This window comes from Homo sapiens, chromosome 6 (genome assembly GCF_000001405.40).
Source record: "Homo sapiens chromosome 6, GRCh38.p14 Primary Assembly".
NCBI classification, from domain to species: domain Eukaryota; kingdom Metazoa; phylum Chordata; class Mammalia; order Primates; family Hominidae; genus Homo; species Homo sapiens.
Window position 1 is genome coordinate 61,729,182 of NC_000006.12, and position 19,433 is coordinate 61,748,614.

General features: G+C 33.2%; 1 protein-coding gene across 7 annotated transcripts in view; it reads right to left on the bottom strand.

The window, feature by feature from the left end:
* KHDRBS2 (KH RNA binding domain containing, signal transduction associated 2) overlaps positions 1-19,433 on the bottom strand; it is a 743,556-nt gene that overhangs the window by 186,512 nt on the left and 537,611 nt on the right. For all 7 annotated transcript variants that reach the window (NR_146870.2, NR_146873.3, NR_146874.3 and 4 more), the window contains one exon: positions 3,501-3,583. Coding sequence is in view for 2 of the 7 variants with exons in the window: in NM_152688.4 (NP_689901.2) it covers positions 3,501-3,583 (83 nt within the window). In the remaining 5 variants the exon portion in view is untranslated. The remainder of the gene's footprint in view (positions 1-3,500; positions 3,584-19,433) is intronic.

A 19,433-nucleotide genomic window follows, 5' to 3' on the forward strand; every position in this document is an offset into this window, starting at 1 on the left:
ATGGATGGAGCTGGGGGCCATTATCCTTAGCAAACTAACACAGGAACAGAAAACAAAATACCACATATTCCCACTTATAAGTGGGAGCTAAATGATGAGAACACATGGGCACATAGAGGGGAACAACACACACTGGGGCCTTTTGGCCTTCAGGAGGAGGGAGAGGATCAGGAAAAAGAACTGATGGTACGAGGCTTAATACCTGGGTGATGAAATAATCTGCACAACAAACCGCCATGACAGATGAATGTTTTCATTTCACTTGGGTAAATACCGAAGAGAAGAACTGCTGGGTCATATGGTAAATGTAGGTCAACTTTTAAGCAACTGCCTAACTGTTTTCCAAAGTGGTTTACAGTTTTACATCCCTATCAGCAATATATGAGCATTGCAGTTGCTCCACATCCTCACTAACATTTATTTGATAATTCAATCTGTTTAATATTAGCCATTCCACAATCTGTGTACTAGTATCTAATTGTGGTTTTAATTTCAATTTTCCTAATGAATAATGATGTTGAACATATTTTTAGACTCTTATTTGCAATTTGTATATCTTCTTTGGTGAAATGTCAGTTCAAATTTTTTTGCCCATTTTTAAAAGGCAGGTTATTTATCTGATTCTAAAGTTTTAGCAGTTTTTGCATATTTTGGATACAATCAAAGATATTCTTTAGAAATATATGTTTTGCTAATATTGCTTCACAGTTTGTAGCTTGCCATTTTATTTAATAACAGTGTCTTTTAGAGAACAAAATTTAATTTTGATAAAATACAATTGATTAAAAAATAATCTAAAGGCAAGCATTGAACACCTGATCTAATAAGAACTCTAGTGTGTATCTATTTCTATTAGAAATTGGCACGATATTAAAAAATTATTTTTCACAGTTTTCTGAAAAAAATAGTTTACTAATTAGTGCATGTACTCATTTTCATTTATTTTTTCAACAAATCTTTACTGAGAACCTCTAGTGTTTCAGAAACTATACTAGTATTGAGGATAAAATTTTGACCAAAATAGGCATTTTATCATTATTGTAATATAGACATTGGTATCACTGCAACTAATTTCATCACCTACTTTCTTTGTCCCTCTGGCTTAACAGTAAAGTATCAGAGAAGCACATAAATATTCTGTCAGTATTCTCTTTGAAGAATGAGGCTCTTATTTTGTATCCCCATGGTGTAGAACATATTAGGCTCGACATTCACATACTCAACAATTATCCCTTCAGTGCATACCCCATGAAAGACTTTGTACCTAGTATTGTGAGAGAGATGAGGCTGTATTAGAAAAGGATTTGGAACAAATAACGAAAATGATAGGGGACATGTACACAAATAATCCCAATGTAAGGCAGAGAAATAAATGCTATAGAAAAGTAAATATATGGTGCTATTGGAATTCAGGGCAGAAACAGATTATTCTCCAAAACACAATAAAGAAAATACTTTTTAGAAGAGTTGGCTTTTGAGCTGGGGCTGGAAGGATGGGAAGAATTTAGCTACAAAAATTGAGTGGATAGGAAAGGAGACAGGGAAGGCAGCAGAAGTGTGTAGAAAATGTCCCTTTACATATAAATTATACTTTATTAAAGCAAGTTTTATTCTAAAATTATTGTATACAGCCATTATATATATGTGTGTGTGTGTGTGTGTTCAACAATTCTAACATTCACTTTTCAGATATTCAAAGCTAAATTATCTTAATCTCATATTTTTCTTCTTGTTTCTTAGGGTCAGTTAAGCTCACTTAAATCTCACCAGAAGAGAGAATGTCCCTCATTATCAGAAAATTATTCCAAAATTTCTTCTATTTAATTGTAGCTCTACAGAGCTGCATCAAGGAATTATTTTAGTCTATTCTAATTGTGTTTGTCGAGTGTAGTAACTACACTTTCTATCAAGGGTTTCTGAAACTAGTTATGGAACTTTGTTATCACTATTTTTATGTGCTAATGTATAATGATAAACTAACAATTTGATTGAAAATATTAGCAGACAGTCTAAATATGTAGCCAATTTGCATATAATACTCGGTTCAATATCTGTAATGTGATGCAAAACTTACCCTAAGCCTAAATGACTGTGTTGTTTTCCAATATGTAATTGGGACAATTAAGATATTACAGCAAAAGCGCTTGGCTCATGATGGCTTCTCTATTTAGCTTACTAGAAATTAACCAATTATTCAGTGTCAGCGATGGTCATTTCTACAGTGATAACTTAAATCATACTTAGTTTTAAAGATATCAGTTCACACTCATCTTATTTCTAATTGCCCACAGTATTCCCTCTAAATAAAATTTATCTTCAATACTTTTACTGTGCTGTCACTCAGGCCACGGAAAATCCAAACTTCCACAATACATGTAGATTTATTCTAAACTATAATGACCTTTAAGTTGTTTTCTTCTTTGCCACCTCAAATATTACTTAAGTCCTAAAGGAGGTTTATTGCCAATAAAGTTGGTCAAGAAATGATCAATGCTATAATGATTTTGCAACAGTAAGTTCCATTGGCTTCTGTCAATCACATAAATGGGAAACTCACTTAACTCATAGATCCCCCTGTATTTTCCTGTGAAATTTGTAACACTTTTAAGAAAAAAAAGTGGGTGATTGAATTTTCTAAAAATGCATTTGTTTTACACCTATTTTCTTCATAGTTAACAAAAATAAAATCCACACTCAAAATGTTACATTATTATATTGTTTCTTCTTACAAGGTGTTCTAGAGAAGGTAAAACTATGGTAACAAAAAACAGATAGTTGGTTTCCAGAGCCTGAGGATGAAGGAGAAGTTAACTACAAAGGGCCATGAAGAAGCATTTTTGGATGGTGAAAATGCTCTATATCTTAATTTTGGTGGTCATTACACAGTAGTTTGCATCTGCCAAACGTATACAGCTGTATTCTAAATGGGTAAAGTTCATCATATATAAATAACATCTCAATAAATCTGACTTTGAAGACATAAAAAATCATTTATATCACAAATTTTGGGTCAATCTAACGAGATATATTCAACAATCAATATGAGACCTATCAAGAAAGCAAAGGAATTCTTGATTCCCTAAGATGTTTCAGAAATTTCCCTCTTTCCAGAGTACCAATGACATTTTATTATCTTTTACAAATAAATGTGATATTTTAGGAAAAAAAAAAGCTACATTGAACAAGTGCCTTACTTTTATTATTGTCTTTTAAAAAAATCTAAAAATAACATTTAGTTAAATACAAGCTTATTTAACGAGTTGATTGGTTGCCATAATCATCTAGTCTTAGAATGACACACTACTATTTCTTTGCTTGCAGTTGCAAGGTTATTATAGTTTAACTCTCACAGTCTGGTAAGCAACTTGATAATTCAGAAAGATAATGGAGAAAAAACACTACTAGAAATTCTCACATGATATAATTGACATTCAGATTCAAGAAACAAAATTGATTAGAGATAATCCTGAGAAGGCTGCTTTAGATAGCAAATGCCTTACCTTTGTGTTTGGGTCGCATAGCTGTTATCATAAGTCTCATAGGTCTGGTCATCATATTCACCCCCGTAGCCATCATCATAACCCTGAGACAAAAAAATGGTAGAAACACCTGTTAGTCAATTTGATTAACTTTGATCTGTTTTCAGTTAGCACAATTTTATACAATGTGATCTTGGTTTAGATTTCATGTTGGGTAAGTATCCATATATCACATTTTACTAGATTAATGATTCTCACATAAACTTAAATAATATTTCATGGATCAGGTATCAATGTTTATTAAACTCAGCATATCATTGAAGCAGCAATACCTACTCTAAGACTTATTTAGAATTTTCATCAATAATAATGACTATTTAAGAAATTCAAAATAAGTTTTTCTATTTGGGTATACAAGAACAACTGTGCTAACTTTATGGTGGTGTTAACATGTTTGTTACTATCCCACTGGGAATTTTTTCTTCTCCTTTTAATAATCATAATTAAGATAGAAACTATAAACTACAGGATCCTTAAACTGTAGTCAACTTTCAGTAAAAATTATGGAGTCATTACTGATTAAATAAATAAATAAAAGAAAAAAAGAGGGAACTAAAAAGGAAAGAAGGAGTGAAATAAAGACTTCGTGGCCGGGCCTGGCGGCTCATGCCTGTAATCCCAGCACTTTGCGTGGCCAAGGTGGGCAGATCAGCTGAGGTCAGGAGTTCGAGACCAGCCTGGCCAACATGGTGAAACCCCATCTCTACTAAAAAATACAAAAAAATTTAGCCAGGCGTGGTGGTGTGCACCTGTAATCCCAGCTGCTCAAGAGGCTGAGGCAGGGGGAATCACTTGAACCTGGGAGGCAGAGGTTGCAATGAGCTGAGATTGTGCCATTGCACTCCAGCCTGGGCAACAAGCATGAAACTCCATCTCAAAAAAGAAAAAAAAAAAAAGACTTTGTGTACATTATATGATTTTTAAATCTCATAAGTAAAATAATTATGTGTGATGAGACTTATTACTCGAGTAAATTACACTAACAAAGCTAATGCAGATTTGTCATAGCAGCATGTTCAAACAAGCTAGTAATTATACACTCCAGTTATCAATCACTCTGAATGATTTAGTTTTGTTTCTCTTTGTGGTCATTAATTTTAAACACTAGCCATCCGTCTCGATTATTCCCTACTTCTGGAAAAACCTTCAGGTTTTCTGTGCCTGGTGCTGGCGCATCTCTTTCCCTGGAATACACTTCCACCCTACCCTAGCACTTCATAAATTCTTTTCAGTCTGGAGGCTTACAAATCTCTCTTTATCTTGTTCAGGAGTTTCAGCAGAAAATACCTACATGTGAAATCTTTGACATTAGTCTTGACTAACACTTTTAAGCCCATTTAATGAAAAGACTAATATATTTATCAACTTAAGAAACTTCTAAAAATTTTATTTCCTTATTTCTTCATTTTCACGTGGTCTTACCATCATATAATGCTATTATTTACATACGAAGCTTTCTGAATCTAACTTCCATCTCTTGTCATTTTTCATTATATTTTTGCTCTGCAGTATGAAATAGTTTCTCTATTTGTTCCTTGAATACCCTAATTAGTTGCTATTGAGTTAAATTTTGTTCAATGTTCTAAAGTTAATTTTAGTATTTATAAAACAATTACATGCAGATTATTTAGAAATAATACAAACAAGCTTATGTCCCCAAAATAGTAGTTCCTTGTCTTGTTCTCCTTTAACCTTCAGCTCTCTTTCAGTATTTTCATCTATTATTTTAGTATTCATTTTTGTGTTATTAAGTAATATAGCTAAGTTATTGTTGTTGGATTTATAAATTTTGTCATTTTCTATTGGCTGTCCATTCAGGTTGTTAAATTTAGTTCTATTATTTCCCTTACTTATCTTCCCAATATAGTTTCATCATAATTTTTCATTAGTCAATATTAATATTATTGAGTGAGAATACATAATTGTATCCTCTTATGACATAAATTATTTAATATAATTCTGTTTTTATTCTCATACACCTTTTCCTTTCTTCCAACGTTAATAATTGTTCATTCATCTTATTATTTTCTTGGTTTTCCAAATATTTAGAAATGTCTTCATCAATTGTCCCAATGGTCATATTAAACTAGCAGTAATATTTCTAAGATTCAAAGACATCAGCTCATCCATAATGTTTTTATGTGTAACATGGAGACTATCACCTGAAGAACTGTGTCATTGTGCTCTGGTCCACATTGATGAATTTCTAGGCCTGAAGGCCAAGGTGTTTTCCTAAGGCCTCTTTCACCATTGTTGGTAGTGAATTTCCTTTGGCCAGATTCCATCTTTTCCTTGCTTTAATTTCTTGCTGAAACATCTCTTTCAATAACCTCTATTAAGAGGTATTTTGGAGAAAAATATTTTGATTCTTTCTTGTTTAGCTTTACACTGCCCCCCTACTCACTGTAGCTTTTGTTTTCATTTTTTTGGTGATAAATTTAAATTATACAAAAGTTGGAACAAGATGTTAATGGAAACTCATCTACCCTTCACCTAGATTCAACAATTATTGACATTTTGTCTCATTTGTGTTATCTTATATATATATTTTTTAAGAAACCATTTGCAAATTAGTTCCAGAAACATGATATTTTATCCCTAAATACTTCAGCTTCTATCTCCTGAGTGTAGGGACATTCTTCTACATAAATGTATTATTATTACTCCTTAAAAATCACAATAAATTCACATTACTGTGAAGTCCCCAGTTAAATTTCTACAATTGTCCCAAGCATTTATGAATTTTGTAGCTATTTTAATCTTGCATAGCTATTTTTCAAAAATCAGAACCCAATAAAGAATTTTGAATTGCATTTGATGATTATATCTGTTTAGTGTTTTTAGAGCTAGCATAGTTCCCCAACCTTTTATTGCTTCCCAAAATATTAACTTTTTTGAGTGGTCCAAACCAACTGTTTTGTACACCATTCCACATTCTGCATTTGCCTGATTATTCTCATAATTACATTCAGATTTAATATTTTTGAAAGAATGTTACATATGTGATATTGTATTGTACATTTATGTTACTGGAAATTTTTCAATTGTCTCATACTTAATTGGTTGGGTAGAGAAGTCTAGGCTGAAAAAAAATGACTTTTAATCAGAATTTTGAGAGCTTTGGTACAATATTTTTACTATTCCATGTTAAAGTTGAGAATTCCTATTACTTACATGTGACCTAGATTTGTTTTGTCTCTTTTTTATTTCTTCTGGATGCTTTTACAATTTTTATCTCTGCTGTTCTGAAATTACAGAATGCAATGCCTTTGTGTGTGTGTTTCTTTTCATTCATTGTGTTGGGTGCTCAATGAGCTCTTTCAATCTAGAGGCTTATATTCTTCAGTTGTGGAAAATGTCTCTCCATTTTTTTTCTTTCTTTCTTTCTTTTTTTTTTTATAACCCTTACTAGTGAGATTGAGTCTTCTCGGTTGGCACAGTAAATTTACTTTTTTGTCCTATATGATATCTCTTATTCTTTTTACTTTACTTCACACACACACACACACACACACACACACACACACTAACAACTGTTAGGATGTGGAGTGGATGTTTTGTGTTCTCAGGTATAGTTTAAGCATCCCATTCTTAGCCCAAGGTCTCATCTCCTTTGTGGTGGGACAAGGGTTAATACCATAATTGGAGCTTTCTGGAGCTGCAAGATTCAGGGCAGTCCAGCACTCTATCTTGAGGATCTGCCTGGTCAGTTATGAGGACATCCACAGGTGCTCCAAGGGGTGCAAACTTCTTTTTAGGAATCGGGCTTTTGGTCCTTCACCAAGATTATAAAAATATGGCTTTACTCACCTTTATTTCTTATGCAAGACTCAAGGTCTCTAGCTTCCAACAGGAGGCAAGGCAGTTTTAATTTGTTTGTTTTGTTTCACTTTATTTTTGTGTTTCTGTTTCTGAGCAGGGAGGTACAAGAACCAGGGATGGGAGTAGGTACTTGTCTTCAGGGCTCCAGGGCTCCTGAAATCCCTATGTTTCCCCCATTTCCATCTGTTGAAATGCTACTGATTCCTCAAGGTCATTTTACATAATATCATCTTTAGAAATCTTTTCCTGCTTCTAACAACCATATATTAACCCTTAGTTCCCCGAATTCCAATAGCATGTTTTCTCTCATTGTTCTTAAAATACCTAAACATATACTATATTTCTTTTTCTATAATTTTCTCTCTTTTTAGAATTTAAGTTTCTGAAAAGCAAGGACTATATCATAGTTTATCACCTTTTTGATGTATTGTAGTACTTAGCATAGTTTATCCCATAGAATAGTCATTTAACAAATATATATTGAATTGTTTAATTAGCCAAAGGAGACTACTCTTATCCACTGTCTAGATATGGATTAACACAAATTAATCACAGCTAAAAGATAAATGTTTCAAATGATAAATATATAGAGCTATTATCTCTATTTATGAAGAATATCTTTACTATTTGGCCCAGGAAGATTATTTCATTTTACTCCCTCACTTACTCTTTTACTTCTTTAAATGTTACACAGAAAATCCCCAGAGTAGATGGAAATCTGTCCTGCTAACCTAAACTTTCATAAAGCATATAGTGCAATGTTCCCCACATAGCTGTACTTACTGTAAAAGGGACAGTAAATGGGCATATTTTTCCAATACTTGATATATTTTTAAAACCATCTTTTTATTAAGAAATATGTATACACATAAATATTTGTAAATATATATGTATGTATGTAAACGTATAGTACTGCAAAACAGTAAACTATCATTAGACAACCGTCACAAAATGAAAAGCATAACAACGTTTAAGATGTCAACACTGCATCCTACATGTTAAAAACAGACCGTAAGTTAATCATTGGTATATCCTTATTGCATAAATCAGATCGTTTTCCTAATGCCAGCACTAAGGAAGTAGTAGGTGGATTTCTGAAGAAGTGAGAAAAAAGCAAGAGTGTTCTAGCAGCTAGGGTAGGGAGAGACAACCGCAGAGCCATAAAAGGCATGGACTCCGGCTTTATTCTGTCTGCATTCAAATCCTGAATCCTAATAAGATTCCCAGATGTGGAAACTCATAAGACGTAGGGAAGAGTAAAGGTAGAACATGGAATGTTTTACATAATACAGTTTTTATTAAGACCAATAAAGTTGTAGAAAAAGAAAACCATAGTTCCAGGAAACCATATTTACGTGGTTTTTTTAAGTAAAAATATGCATTGTGCTGATGATGGTCTAAGATAAATCACTAAAATAGACATGCTCCCTAAAAAGCCAGTCAGTATCTGCCTGAGATTTAAGGTGAATATGAATATTGAATTAAGAAATCAAAACATAAAAGATCAAAAATTCTGAAATGATACTTTTTCCGTTTTTGCTTCATTGTTTTTGCTATTTGAAGACATTACTTTCTTATCATGTCCTGGCTTATTAGTATATTTCTACTAAAAAATACTACTTTATTACTTAAGTTATCAGTCCCAACGCAGAATTTCCTCAAGTACAAAGAGCACATCCGATGTGTCCAGTAAAAGAAAACCTTCTAAATAAATTAACAATTTTAACTTTACTTTCTTCTAGCTGTAGACAGATGATTTGATATCTCCCACAAAAAAGAAAATACTCAAGGAGATATGATTCATTCCTCCCTGGAACATGGTCATGAAAAATATCTCTTCTAAGATTTCTTTCTATCTGTGAAGTTATAAATTCTTTAGTTTTCTATTCTTTGAGTCAAATGAGACAAGTCCTTATAGGATCCTTGTGAAACACAATCTTGGCTTCTTTCTGAGTCTTTGCTAAGTCCTCTACAATATACTTAAGGCACAATGTGAAGTGTGGGTCTAAAATGAAGGCCTGAGCTATAATGAAATAAGGCAATTTCTTTGTAGCTTGCTATGAATTATAGACCACTTCACGCATTTGGGTATTGGGCAAAGCAACATACAGGACAAATACGTGTGTGTTACCATAAACACATATGTTTACAAAATGAGCCCTTTTCAAATCTACCCTGGAAAATGCATTTTTTGTCTTTAATATTCCTACTAATTTCTCAAATTAATGAGGTCATTGACTTAAACGCTTATTATTGAACTATGATTTCTATTCCAATTTTAGGTTGTCAAATCTAATACTGGCTCTGCATATGAGCTTAAAATAATAGTAATTCATCAGATGTTATATTAACCACTGAATTACCTATTATCCAGGCATTAAACATAAGAGAAGATTCAGACATAAGTCCTATCTTTAAGAAGTTTTTATCCAGTGTAGTTCTGGTAAATGCTTAATAATTGCCTCTCCAAAAAATTGTATGCACGTGTGTCTATGCACATATACATACAAATTCATTAAACCTTTTACTGACATAAAGCATATGATTTATAACTAAAATATAGAATTTATTATACATTCTATAAACATATAACTTCAGTGTGACTTGCAAAATTTTTTGCAAAATCCACTATAACTTTTTATAATTGCATTGCCACAATAGAATCCCAATAAATCACAGCACAGATAAATGCTTGCTTATTATCTGATTCAGCAATGATGTCAATGTTATTGATAAACATGTATGGTTCTGACATGACTGTTATTTGACATTTTTATTTATGTTGACCAGTAAAATGAAAGTGAAATCTCAAATATGTATGTCAGAATCTTACTTGTTTCTTAATGATAGGAGCAACTTTGCTCTGAATTAGACAATGGTTTTGACATACTGGAAGAATATTTCCTCAATTTCGTGTTCCATTTACAATGTAAAGGTTATAGGAATAATACACTTTTAAATAAATAAAATGCTCTGAATTAGACAATGGTTTTGATATGCTGGAAGAATATTTCCTCAATTTTGTGTTCCATTTACAATGTTAAGGCTATAGGTATAACTAACTTTTAAATAAAATCTGCATAATTAACATTTTCTCCATAGCTTTCTTACATTTAGATAAGGAATAAAACAAAACGTCAAGTCCTGGCTTTTAGCATTTGTCAATATCTGTAGTGTAAAAACTCTTATTACAGCTGATTTTAAGCTATCACCACATTAGCACTGAAAACAGACTTGGGAAGAGGTGAACATTAGCACACCATTATATGTTATTCCCACCAAACAGATACACTAGACATAAATAACCAAAAGAGCACAGATTCTAACATAATACATACTGATGAGTCTGTAAATGTTTATCTTCAATATAATCTATTTCATTTAAAGTTGTGTAATTCAATTTTTAATAATGACTGTGTTTAACAATCAATTTACAAAATTCCTAAAAATTTTACAAATCTTGTGAGCCAGTATGAGTCACCTCTGCTCTTGGTTACTAGAAGATATCAACAAATGTATATGCAATTGAGATACCAAAGAAAGCACTCCAAGAGTATGTAACAGGTGCTATGGAAGCACACTGGAGGAATGGCTAAATAGGTCTGAGGATTTCAAGGAGAATTTCCCCGAAAAGTTGTTGTTTGAGATTGGTATTTCAAGATAAATAAATGTTTTTCAGATTGATAAGCAGGTAAAATGAGAGCATTCCATTTCCAGGTGCACCAAGTGTGAATGCATGGCATTATGAAACTAAATTGTGTTTTGTGAGCTGCTAGTAGCTAGATCTAACTAAAGCACAAAATGTCTAAGAAACAGTAGGGAGTTGGACCAAGGAGCAGAAAGGGTCAGGTCTGAATTGTTTTCTATAACATGGTAAAGGGTTTATCTATATCTAGTCGACAAAGAAGCCATTGAAGGGTTCCAGGTGGTAGAATGACAAATTTAGATCAACATTTTATATATTTTGACTCAAAAATAAAAATTACCAGGGCTTTGTAGAGTAGGCTCCATTTTCCCACTATTTTCTTGAACATGTTATCATAGTTACTGTAAAGTCCCTGAATGATAACTCTAACATCTGAATTACCCATGACTATTTTTTTCCTCTTAGTTTTTATTGTTATTGTTTTTAACATGTCTTATGGGTTTTCACTGAACTGTTGATATAGTGTAAGGAAATTTGTGAAAGCGTTGGCTGATGGTATTTTCTTCCAAAAAGCATTAAGTGTTTTCTTGTCAGGTCATTAGGATAGCAACAGGTAACCGTGATACGATTAAGAGTTGGTTTCAGGCACCTGGATATATGAGTTTGAAGCTTAGACAGTTTGAGCTAGAGATATGGCTCTAGTAGTCATCAACATATGCATGGCAACCATAATAACCACCATTGTCCACTGAGAAGACAAACTTAATTTACAGAAAGCTCTACGTGAACACAATGTTCCAAGCACTACTTCCGCTCTAGGAAATGAGGGCACAAGGTCAGCTGTAATAAATATATTTTGTACAGGAAGACCCCATTTAAAAAAATCAGCCTTGAATTTACCCAAAAGATATTATTTCTTGAAAGGCCTTATTAAATCCCCATGCCAATGTTTTTTGTTTTTTTGTTTTTGTTTAACAGAGACCTGTGAAAATTTCTGGCTCTACTCTTACATGCATTACTACCCCATAGACACAGAATCAAAAAGTTCTAAAAAGAAAAAAAAATGGAATGGTAAACAGAATATGTTAAATTACCTCTAGATAGAGCTTTTCTAATCAGTACTAGTTTATGGAGCCTAAGATATTTGAAGGTTGCTTGCAACTCAGAAAAGGGAATCATCACATAAAAATAGTTTAGAAACATCTCACCACATATTTTGGGAAATAAATATGTTTTGAAACTATTTTATTACATCACTGACAGTTCAGATAATTTTAAAAAATAATTTCAACTTTTATTCTAGATTAAGGGGGTACATGTTGACTTTTGTTACATGAGTATACTGTATTTTGCTGCGGTTTGGGGTATAAATAGCCCTATCACCCAGGTAGTGAGTATAGGACTCAATAGGTAGTTTTTCTTTACCTATTTAAAAAGTCAAGTAGGACCACAGGAAATTGCCATTTTTGTAAGTCAAAAATTGTCAGATGTTGGCAATTTCCTAAGTTCAACCTAACACTAATATTAGAAACTGTGAAATTGACATGTTTTTGTCAACTAAAGAGAACAGAAGTGTCTTGTGATACCAGTAAGTCATTGCGGCTTCTAGAAGAAAATCATTTAGAAATTTAAATGATATGAAATGTCATTCTGACTCTGTTATATACCCACATTTTCTGTGAAGACTTTAAAAATTAACAAGTCTTTGTGACAGATTTAGCATCTGTTCATTATTTTCATTTGGATTTTATTTTCTATAAAAGGTCAGCAGGCATTACAATAAAATACATAAATTAAGGGAAATAATGTGGAATATTCTTATGCAGTTGAGAGAAAAATAAAGTGAAAAGAGCAATAATAATCAAGAACCATTAAATATTCTATAATTAAGTAATTTAATTATGAGGGTCAAGATAATAAATTGTCACCAAAAACTAAAATGCTAGGCACAAAAGTGATTTGCAAATGCTGCCCTTTAATATTATTGAATATAATTAACAGGTCAGATAGGAACTTAACATTTAACTTACTTTATGAAGTGTGGTTAATTCTTAAAAACGTGTCCCTGTCTTAGCTTATTTAAACCATAAGATGCATAGAATGTCTACTTCATATATGATCTCTTGTTACTACAAAAGCACTTCATGGTAATAATCAAAAATTTAAAACATAAAATATTACTACAACAAAAACTAACTGTACAATGCCAATATTTTGATAGTTACTATTTCTTTAGGATATAAATTATTAATGCTTGTGTATTCTCTTGACTATGGGTTACTTATAATTTTCCATGTATTTTTTCTTTAAAATGTTACATTCTATCTGTGGTATTGTTACATTCTCTCTCTGATATTGAATAGATGAACTTCTGATAAAATAAGAAATATTTTAATAGTCTCTTCCATCTCTTTTTTCCCACTGAAAGCATGACTAGATTGCTGGCTTGGGATGATATGGCAATGGTTACTCCCCAGTATGCAGCTTTTGTTACTGATGCAACATGGGAAGTCATTATGTATTCAAAACCATATGAGATCATAAAGGTACACATCCTCAGTGAGGTCATTAAACCTAACAGTTTAGCTCTGCAATTAGGCAATATACTTAAATCTTTGGAGTTTTCTATAGAAATCAGTAAATCAGTCTCTAATAAAAGGAAGCTATTCTGTACCTTCCTTTCCTATGTAGATTGTAGCTGCTAAACAATTTTCCCTTATATATGTACACTCAATATAAAGGCTGGAAATTGCATATTTCTGAAATCTAGATTCTCTGGAAATTAAAAGCTCCCAAGGAACTATAAGACATTCTCTGCCAGCCATGCATATGCAAGACAGTATTCTACATTAACAAATTAATCTCTGGGGAGGCTAATGCTAACTTTTCAATCAGCCCAGTAAAATCAAATAACAAACCTCAAGAGACATACGTGGAAGTTGTATATATTTAAAAATAAAATTAATAATATACAATTCAAGTGAACACCATTCATAAACATATATAACAAGCATGCATTGGGAGACCAGTAAAAGCCAGTATGTGACACACTTACATACACAGTTACTTTGTTAAAAACCAAAATCAAGCCTATATGGCATGTTCTGTATCTTTACACCTACTTAACAGATTAGGAAAATGAGAAATAATTTCAGGAGATCACAGCCCACGAGGAAGTGTCTTGGCTACAATGTAAACTCAGTTATCTGGCACTGTCTAGTATTTACTCTCTAGTTGCTTTACTAAAGGCCTAATATCATTAATGGCAAAATACAATTCTCATGACTTTTTAAATAATTTCGTTAAGTTTACAATAGTAACACAAACACAATTTGGGATTTTACCTGTTAAAACATGTACTGAAGAAAAATGAAAAAAATTGGGGTTAATAATTTTGTATTATATTTGTAAAAATCAGTGTTTTATCCTTATTTTATTTTTTTAATTTTATTATTATTATACTTTAAGTTTTAGGGTACATGTGCACAACGTGCAGGTTTGTTACATATGCATACATTTGCCATGTTGGTGTGCTGCACCCATTAACTCGTCATTTAGCATTAAGTATATCTCTTAATGCTATCCCCCCCCTCCCCCCACCCCACAACAGTCCCCGGTGTGTGATGTTCCCCTTCCTGTGTCCATGTGTTCTCATTGTTCAATTCCCACCTATGAGTGAGAACATGCGGTGTTTGGTTTTTTGTCCTTGCGATAGTTTGCTGAGAATGATGGTTTCCAGTTTCATCCATGTCCCTACAAAGGACATGAACTCACCATTTTTTATGGCTGCATAGTATTCCATGGTGTATATGTGCCACATTTTCTTCATCCAGTCTATTGTTGTTGGACATTTAGGTTGGATCCAAGTCTCTGCTATTGTGAATAGTGCCGCTATAAGCAGTTTTATGAGAATATAAAATGTAAAGAACTATGCATATCTGAGATTTTAATATACTTTAAGTTAATAAGCTAGTCTATTATTGTGTCATGGATGCTGGCAGAAGACATAACTCTTGGGTCAAAAACAAGGACTCTATTACACACCATAAATTAAAAGCCAGGCCTTCATATTGGCTTGCCCTACATCCCACAGGGCAATGAAAGTGTGTCCAGGTTAGATGCCTGTACACTAAGTGGGTTATATTGCAGGGTAGGAACAGTGAGCTCATGGAATGTAAAGTAAGTGGAAGCAAACCTGCTCTTACTTTGGGGATAGATGCTATCCATTCTTTATGTTACTAGCTGCAAGTGCAGTCCTGATAAATCATCCAAGTAAAGAGTAATTAGGGCCTTGTATTCTTGGCATAACCAGCCAGAAAGCACAAGGATGCTCAGGATCCATAGCAAATTGTGTCTCCTACCAAGAGATGAGCAAAACACATGAAAACTGGGAGTCCTTCAAAAGTGATTTGCTGTATTGAGGAGGGAAGGGCAGATGGTTATACTGTTTCCTTGTTTATTTGATATCTCCAGCAAATGACAATATGTGCCTTTACTTTTGTCTCTTCAGCTTTATCCTTTTTATCCTTTATCCTTTTTTTTCTGGATTCCTTTGTCTTCTAGAGTTCTATATAACATTTTACCCAAGGGGAGTACAAGCCAGTAATCTTTTCTTATTAGGAGAAACAAACCTTGTCAATTGTCAAACATTGTGAGATACTATCTCCTAACAAACATGGCTATTTTAGTAAGACTACCCAGTTCCTACAGAATATTAACATTTACTACCGAAACTTTCAAATCTGTTTTCCTTTTTTTGGGAAGAATGACTGAACATTAATTTCAATAGTTTTACAAGTTTCAAAGCTCATCTAACTATTTTTGGTGATGAACACTATTTAATGTGATTTAGGTTTCCAAGTAGGTGACTCTTAATCATGAACAGCTGCATTTCCTGTTTAAAAAGGAAGCAATATAGTAAACAAAAGTACATTTTAAACTCTGGATTAAAAAATAATACAACTTGGCGCTTGGTGGGGACAAAAGAAAATTTGGCTATTTAGAGATTGCTTCTAGGCTATAATTAAAAGGAGATATCCTGAAACATTTTAGTAATTTTTCTCTAGTATGATAAGAAAGGATGTTAACTTTGTATTTTTTGAAAATATTCGGTTGTCAGTAGGTTTCCTTCGACTCCCATTTTTTAAAATGCTTTTTAACACCTTAGAAATCAGGTAGCAATCTGTTCAACCCAGTTAATGAACAGAACTATGACTAATGAAACTGGAGTTTAGAGTAATGAAGTGCTAGTTTGCTAATGGATCTATTTTAAATGTGTTAATGCTTTATGTACTTCATATTGTAGGCATCCTTGCTGCTTCAGGATAGAACCCAAAGCAAATGCTGTAAAGTCAGTGGCATAAGTCTCTAACGCCTTCTAATACACTCACCAGAAAGAGACAGATAAAATTGTTAATGCTGTCATGACTAAGAACAAGATCAAGTTTTAGAAGCCAACTTGTGTTTTTCACTTCTAAGTACCAAAAGGTTAAAGATGAATAAAAGGGCATAGACATATCTTACTATATTTCTAATCATAGAAATCCAGCGGACTGGCCACACAAGAGGAGAGTTGTTGTTTCTAAAAGGGTCTTTTTCACGGCCAATTATTTATATAGTGCCTTGACGTTGCTGCTGTGTGTAAAATAAAATAAAATATTTTATTTTATTTTATTTGCTCACACCTTTAAGTGGGGTTAAAAATACTTGATAATTGTGTTCTCCTTAACTATATTGTCCTTAAGAATAAAGAGTGCGTGTCTTACATTTCTTTAGAACTTGCCCCATTTCTGTTGTCCCACTAGTCACTGAGACTTAGTACTTAACGTTTTTTTCCCAAAAAGATTTTATTTTATTTTAGTTTAGTTTAGTTTAGTTTAGTTTAGTTTTATTTCACTTTAAGTTCCGGGATACATGTGCAGAATGTGAAGGTTTGTTACATTGGTGTACATGTGCCATGGTGGTTTCCTGTTCCAATCAACCAGAAAGAGACAGATAAAATTGTTAATGCTGTCATGACTAAGAACAGGATCAAGTTTCAGAAGAGAAGTTTAGAAGACGTCATCTAAGGTTTAAGCCTCGCATGCATTAAGTATTTGTCCTAATGCTCTCCCTCCCCTTGCCCCCCATCCCCGACAGGCCACTGTGTGTGATGTTTCCCTCCCTGTGTCCATGTGGTCTCACTGTTCAACTCCCACTTATGAGTGAGAACATGCTGTGTTTGGTTTTCTGTTCCTATGTTAGTTTGCTGAAGATGATGGTTTCCAGCTTCATCCATGTCCCTGCAAAGACATGAACTCATTCTTTTTTATGGCTGCATAGTATTCTATGGTGTATACGTGTCATATTTTCTTTATCCAGTCTTTCATTGATGGGCATTTGAGTTGTTCCATGATTTTGCTATTGTAAATAGTGCTTCAATAAACATACATGGGTATGTGTCTCTATAGAAGAATTTATATTCCTTTGGGTATATACCCAGTAACGGGATTGCTGGGTCAAATGGTATTTCTCAATGGTATTTCTCAAATGATATTACTCAAGATGGATTAAATACTTAAATGTAAAACCCCAAACCATAAAAACCCTAGAAGAAAACCTAGGCCATGCCATTCAGGACATAGGCATGGGTAAAGACTTCATGACTAAAACACCAAAAGCAATGGCAACAAAATCCAAAACAGACAAACGGGATCCAATTAAACTAAAGAGCTTCTGCACAGCAAAAGAAACTACCATCAGAGTGAACAGGCAACCTACAGAATGGGAGAAAATTTTTGCAATCTACCCATCTGACAAAGGTTTAATATCCAGAATCTACAAGGAACTTAAACAAATGTAAAAGAAAAAAAAAGAAAAAAAAAAACATCTAAAAGTGGACGAAGGATAAGAACAGACATTTTTAAGAAGAAGACATTTATGTGGCCAACAAACATATGAAAAAAAAAGCTCATCATTTCTTTGTGTTTTATATTGCTATTTTAGGACATGAGAAACCAAAGCTTAAAATGTTGTTGGCATCATCATAGCTGATCTGATTCAAATTATCTAATTCAACTGGTGTTAGACAGAGAATGAATCAGGAAAACCAAAACAAAAACAGCATAAGAAATCAACATCCCATAATGATTCCTGCCAAACTTCTTGGTGTTATGTTGGTTGTTCAAAAGGAATTTTGTAGCTTTTAAACAAGAGCACGATGACATGATGCACCTATTTAATATTTTTAAGTTTTTGCCCCCAAAATACTTCAGTTCTGATCTTTAGTAATATTTTTTCAATTAGAAAGAATTTAAGAACCAATCACTTACATTGATAAATGTAAAGCAATTTTTACACATTATTTCACACAACTATCACTTTCTAGTAAATTATGCATGACAAATGCATATCAAAATGAAGTAATTAATTTTCTATAAGCCAGTTAAGTAATCTTCATTTCCATGGTGGCTATTTTTCTATCATATGGTACCGAATGTTACAAAAATTCCTTTGTTATCCTGAAAGGAAGGCATTTTTAATTGTTTTGGTATTCTTATCATTGGAAATATATTAACAATGCCCTTGTAGTCATCTTTAACCTCTGGTACATAAGAGTAAAAAGCATGAGTTACCTTCTAAAATTTAATCCTGTTCTTAGTCATGACAGAATTACCAATTTTATTTTCCCAGAATGTTGTTTTCTATTTAGCAGTGCTGGTTAACAGATAAAATGTAAATGTTCAGGTTGTTATTAATAAAAAAGTATTTTGATATTATTTGAATAGGGAGGGGCCTCACTGCTAACTTAGGTTTAGTTCTGATCCTTAATATTCTTTTTTGAGACAGAGTCTCACACTGTTGCCTGAGCTGCAGTGCAGTGGCATGATCTCAGCTCACTGCAACCTCTGCCTCTTGGGTTCAAGCGATTCTCCTGCTCAGTCTCCCAAGTAGCTGCGATTACAGGCACCTGCCACCATGCCCAGCTAATGATTTGTATTTTTAGTAGAGACGGGGTTTCACTATGTTGGAAAGGCTGGCCTCAAACTCCTGACCTCATGATCCGCCTGCCTTGGCCTCACGGAGTGCTAGGATTACAGGCGTGAGCCACCACACCCAGACTTAATATTCAAGTTTTTAAATTACTCTCTCCTACTCTGGTAAGGGTATTTATTTACTTATTCATGTATTTATTTATTTTTGATACCTCAGATTTTGCTTAGGGCTGATGACTTAGGGCTACCCTGGATACCAGCAGTCCTGGAAGCCCACCATGTGAGCAGGAAGAGGCCCTCTATCAATATTGCAAACTCACCAGGTCTATATTAAGTTTCACATAAGATGTCTTTGAATAATTGCATCTGAAAAGTTTTCAAATATGTTGGTATACAACATTCTGCTGTATTAATAAACATTTTTATATATTCTATTGTAACTATCAAATGTAA